At 45.2% G+C, this 4,038-nt stretch overlaps 1 annotated feature.

Annotated features, from left to right (window-relative positions):
- Window positions 1,057–1,559: an enhancer, noted in NCBI's record as "H3K27ac-H3K4me1 hESC enhancer chr14:65099836-65100338 (GRCh37/hg19 assembly coordinates)". NCBI's record gives its function as "activates a minimal SCP1, AML or CMV promoter by ChIP-STARR-seq in primed H9 embryonic stem cells {active_cell/tissue: H9 hESC(primed)}" and the evidence as "EXISTENCE:reporter gene assay evidence [ECO:0000049][PMID:30033119]".

Below are 4,038 nucleotides of genomic sequence, written 5' to 3'. Positions count from 1 at the left end.
CATGGAATGGAATTTATATTCTTGAATATATTGAAGGGGTATATTTTTCTTTCCACTTAAATCATGATGCTCTGTGGCTCTCCACTCATTTAATCAACAGGTTTCTATGCTTCAGGGAAAGAGAGATACTGTTGGGAACAACCAGTTCACTGCTTAGTTTTGGTTGCCAAATTCATTTTTTTTAATCCCTTGCAAGACAATAGTAGTGAAAAATTGTCTCTAAAGTGGGGTGTGCCCAAGACAGCACAATGGGGACAGAAAGCAAATATTAGAATTGTTATTTTCATTTTTTACCTTATCTTTTAAAATGTCCATTTTGGGATGTATGTGTTATAACGCATGTAATATATTAATACAGTGTTACATGTATATCTACCATATACAGATATACATGTTACCATATATACATATATAACCAAGTATATATTAATATATATGGCATACACAAATATATTAAATATACATTTATGTATGTGCTTAAGTTTTTTTTGTTGTTAGGAATGCATGATCAAAAAATTAAGGCCACTACTCTTGAAAGGAAGACTTGGTTTTGAGTAGATAATTTTTTTTCTAAATTCTAAAAAGTTCACTTTAACGATCAAAAGTATAGCTTAGAGTTCTATGTTGACTTCTACTACGAGCCTTAGGTAGAGATAACTTAAGCACCCACTCATCTGGGGGAAAATAGACTGTATCTCCAGTGTGGGAAGCTGAGGGAGAGAGAAGGTAGAAGGCAAATAGTGTATGTGGGGCAGGGAAGGGGAGCAGGTCCCACTCCCCACTTGGGTAGGTTTAGAAGGCTCCTGTTGGGTAAGTTTAGGAAACTCCAGAACAGTGGGGCTGTTTTTTCTTTCCTCAAGTGTCTTAGGGAAGGTCCGGGTCCAACATGGGCCCCCCAGGCTGAAGGTGGGCTGCCGGACAGCCTCACAGAGCCCTGAGCCCTGCAAGGTGAATGTAGAGGCAGCTGGGGGGCCCAAAGCCCTAAGGGGTTGAGTCCTTAGAACCAGTGGATTCCAGAAGGTTGGGGGAGAATGAGACGCCACAAAATGCAAAAACCAAATGACCAGAGGAAACACAGATGTAGGGGCTAAAAGGGCCAGGTGGGACCAGCTTCACTTGAGCAAGCCAGTGGCAGGCATAGGATGGTGGGGGCCCAGCCCGGCCCAGCCACCCTACAGTGAAGACAGGGAAGGATGTGGCAGACGGCCTCCGGGCCTCCACCCCCACAAGGACACGAGCACATGCCTTCCCATCCTGATGCTTCTGTAGCCGCATACCATCTGCTATGGGCTGAACTGTGCCCAGCCCCATTCCTATGTTGAAATCCTAACCTCCAGTGCCTCAGAAGGTGACCTTATGTGGAAACAGAGTGGTTGCAGATATAATTAGTTAAGATGAGGTCATACTGAAGTAGGGTGAGCCCCTGATCCAACATAATTTGTGTCCTTATAAAAAGGGGAAGTCGGCCGGGCGCGGTGGCTCACGCCTGTAATCCCAGCACTTTGGGAGGCCGAGGCGGGTGGATCATGAGGTCAGGAGATCGAGACCATCCTGGCTAACAAGGTGAAACCCCGTCTCTACTAAAAATACAAAAAATTAGCCGGGCGCGGTGGCGGGCGCCTGTAGTCCCAGCTACTCGGGAGGCTGAGGCAGGAGAATGGCGTGAACCCGGGAAGCGGAGCTTGCTGTGAGCCGAGATTGCGCCACTGCAGTCCGCAGTCCGGCCTGGGCGACAGAGCGAGACTCTGTCTCAAAAAAAAAAAAAAAAAAAAAAAAAAAAGGGAAGTCAGAGACAGATGCACACAGGAAGGACACCATGTGAAGAGACACAGGAGGAAGACAGCCAGCTACAAGCCAAGGACAAAGGCCTGGGACAGATCCTTCCCTCAGAAGGGACCAACCCTGCCAACACCTTAAACTCAGATTTCCAGCCTCCAGAAGTGAGAGACAATAAATTCCTATTGTGTAAACCATTCCATCTGTGGCACTTTATTACGGCAGTGTTAGCAAATATCGCACCAGCTTTGCTAAACAAGCAAGGGGGTGGGGAGAGATTGGAAAGACTAGACCATTATTCAAGAGGGGCCGAGATCATCTGGAAGAGACTGTACTAAATGGAAAGAAAATTAGTTCTCCTGAGTTACCTTTCATAGACAAGTGAAGTCCTCTGCCCCCACCAGAGGCAATAGAAGCCTTAGAGGAAGATAAGAATAATCACAAAGAAGCCTGTCCTTTTTTGCACATCTGAGTACACTGAATAAAATTCCAGCTGTATTCGAATCTCAGAGATATAGCCTATCCTGGCCTGCTCTCTCGGTGTGACCAGAACCCATCCTCCTGGGCATTTTATGATTTCTAGACTGGCCACTTTCTTCTCATTGATACCAGCTTCCTGACTCGTTGCCATAGTTCCAGTGGCAAATTCCTAAGCTGGCCACAAGAGCAGTGGCATGCTGACGTGGGTTTGTACCAGCTCCCAAGAGCTGGCTGTTAAATTTTCAGGAATTTTGTGAGCCAGTTAAACACGGCCATTATTAAAGATCAAATTATAAATATGACCAAAATTTTTAAAAAGTATTGAATACTCAAAAATCATCATTTTCTAATTATTTTCTTATATTTTACTATTATGTTTTCTGGGTTATTATATCTGTTACATTTGTATGATGGAAATACTTTGTAATGAATTGTTACTGTGTGTTTCTTCCCAATTTCATGTTCAGTAAATTCAGGTAGCTCAAAATCAACTATAGTGGGAGTATTTACACTATGGAAATTGGTAAATGCTACATATCAGCCCCCACCTCAAGGAGAGCCAGTTGTTAAAAATTTACTAGCATAGGCTGGGCGCAGTGGCTCATGCCTGTAATCCCAGCACTTTGGGAGGCCAAGGTGGGCGGATCACCTGAGGTCAGGAGTTCAGACCAGCCTGACCAACATGGAGAAACCCCATCTCTACTAAAAATACAAAATTAGCCAGGCGTGGTGGCACATGTCTGTAATCCCAACTACTTGGGAGGCTAAGGCCATAGAATAACTTGAACCCAAGAGGCAGAGGTTGCGGTGAGCTGAGATTGTGCCATTGTACTCTAGTCTGAGCAACAAGAGCAAGACTCCGTCTCAAAAAAAAAAAAAAATATACCAGCCCATCACTACATAGATGCTGCCATGGGCCTTGAGTTCTGCATTCTTTTTTGAGATGAGGTCTTACTCTGTCACCCAGGCTGGAGTGCAATGACAGGATCACAGCTCACTGCAACCTTGACCTCCCACGTTCAGGTGATCCTCCTGCCTCAGCCTCCTGAGTAGCTGAGACTACAGGTGCATGCCACCATGCCCAGTTAATTTTTGTATTTTTAGTGGAGTCAGGGTTTTGCCACATTGCTCAGGTTGGTCTCAAACTCCTGAGTTCAAGTGATCCATCCACCTCAGCCTCCCAAAGTGCTGGGATTACAGGTTGGGCTCTGTATTCAGATCTACTAGTAGATCAACTGAAAAAGCTTGAGAAACAATTATTATCAGCTGTACCCAGGTCTGATCTGGGATTTAAATTATCAAAGAGTGATGAGAACAGTCTTCCACCATTCCATAGAGGAGGGAGACTCCCAGTGAGGGTGACACCAGTGAGACCTCTACTGTCTTTCCAGACTTGGGGCAGGACACTAGGCAAAGAGCTACTCACTTCCACACCTTTGTTGTCTTTTGCTACTATTGAGTGACAGTGCTGAACAGGGAACCTCTGAGCAGACTGCCACCTGACAACCTTTATTGGTTTAAAATAACCTGGAGTAACTCTTAATCCTGCTTCTGGCAACAAGAGAATGACGGAATTCAAATGGGTCCAAGACTTCCAGGACTGAACTGCTGTCCTCTGCAATCCATTCTGTAAACCCCCCTCTTCCACCTGCTAATGTGGTATCCACAGCAGAGCTGAGTCCTGGGGGAGACTTCTCTTTCTGCATAGTAACAGGTGTAAAAATAGCAGCTGACCCCTTCAGGGATAGGTGTCAGGCAAAAATGTCTCGGGGACCACAGTAG

The sequence above is a fragment of the Homo sapiens genome, chromosome 14, assembly GCF_000001405.40.
Source record: "Homo sapiens chromosome 14, GRCh38.p14 Primary Assembly".
Taxonomy (NCBI): domain Eukaryota; kingdom Metazoa; phylum Chordata; class Mammalia; order Primates; family Hominidae; genus Homo; species Homo sapiens.
This window is presented reverse-complemented; position numbering and strand designations above follow the sequence as displayed.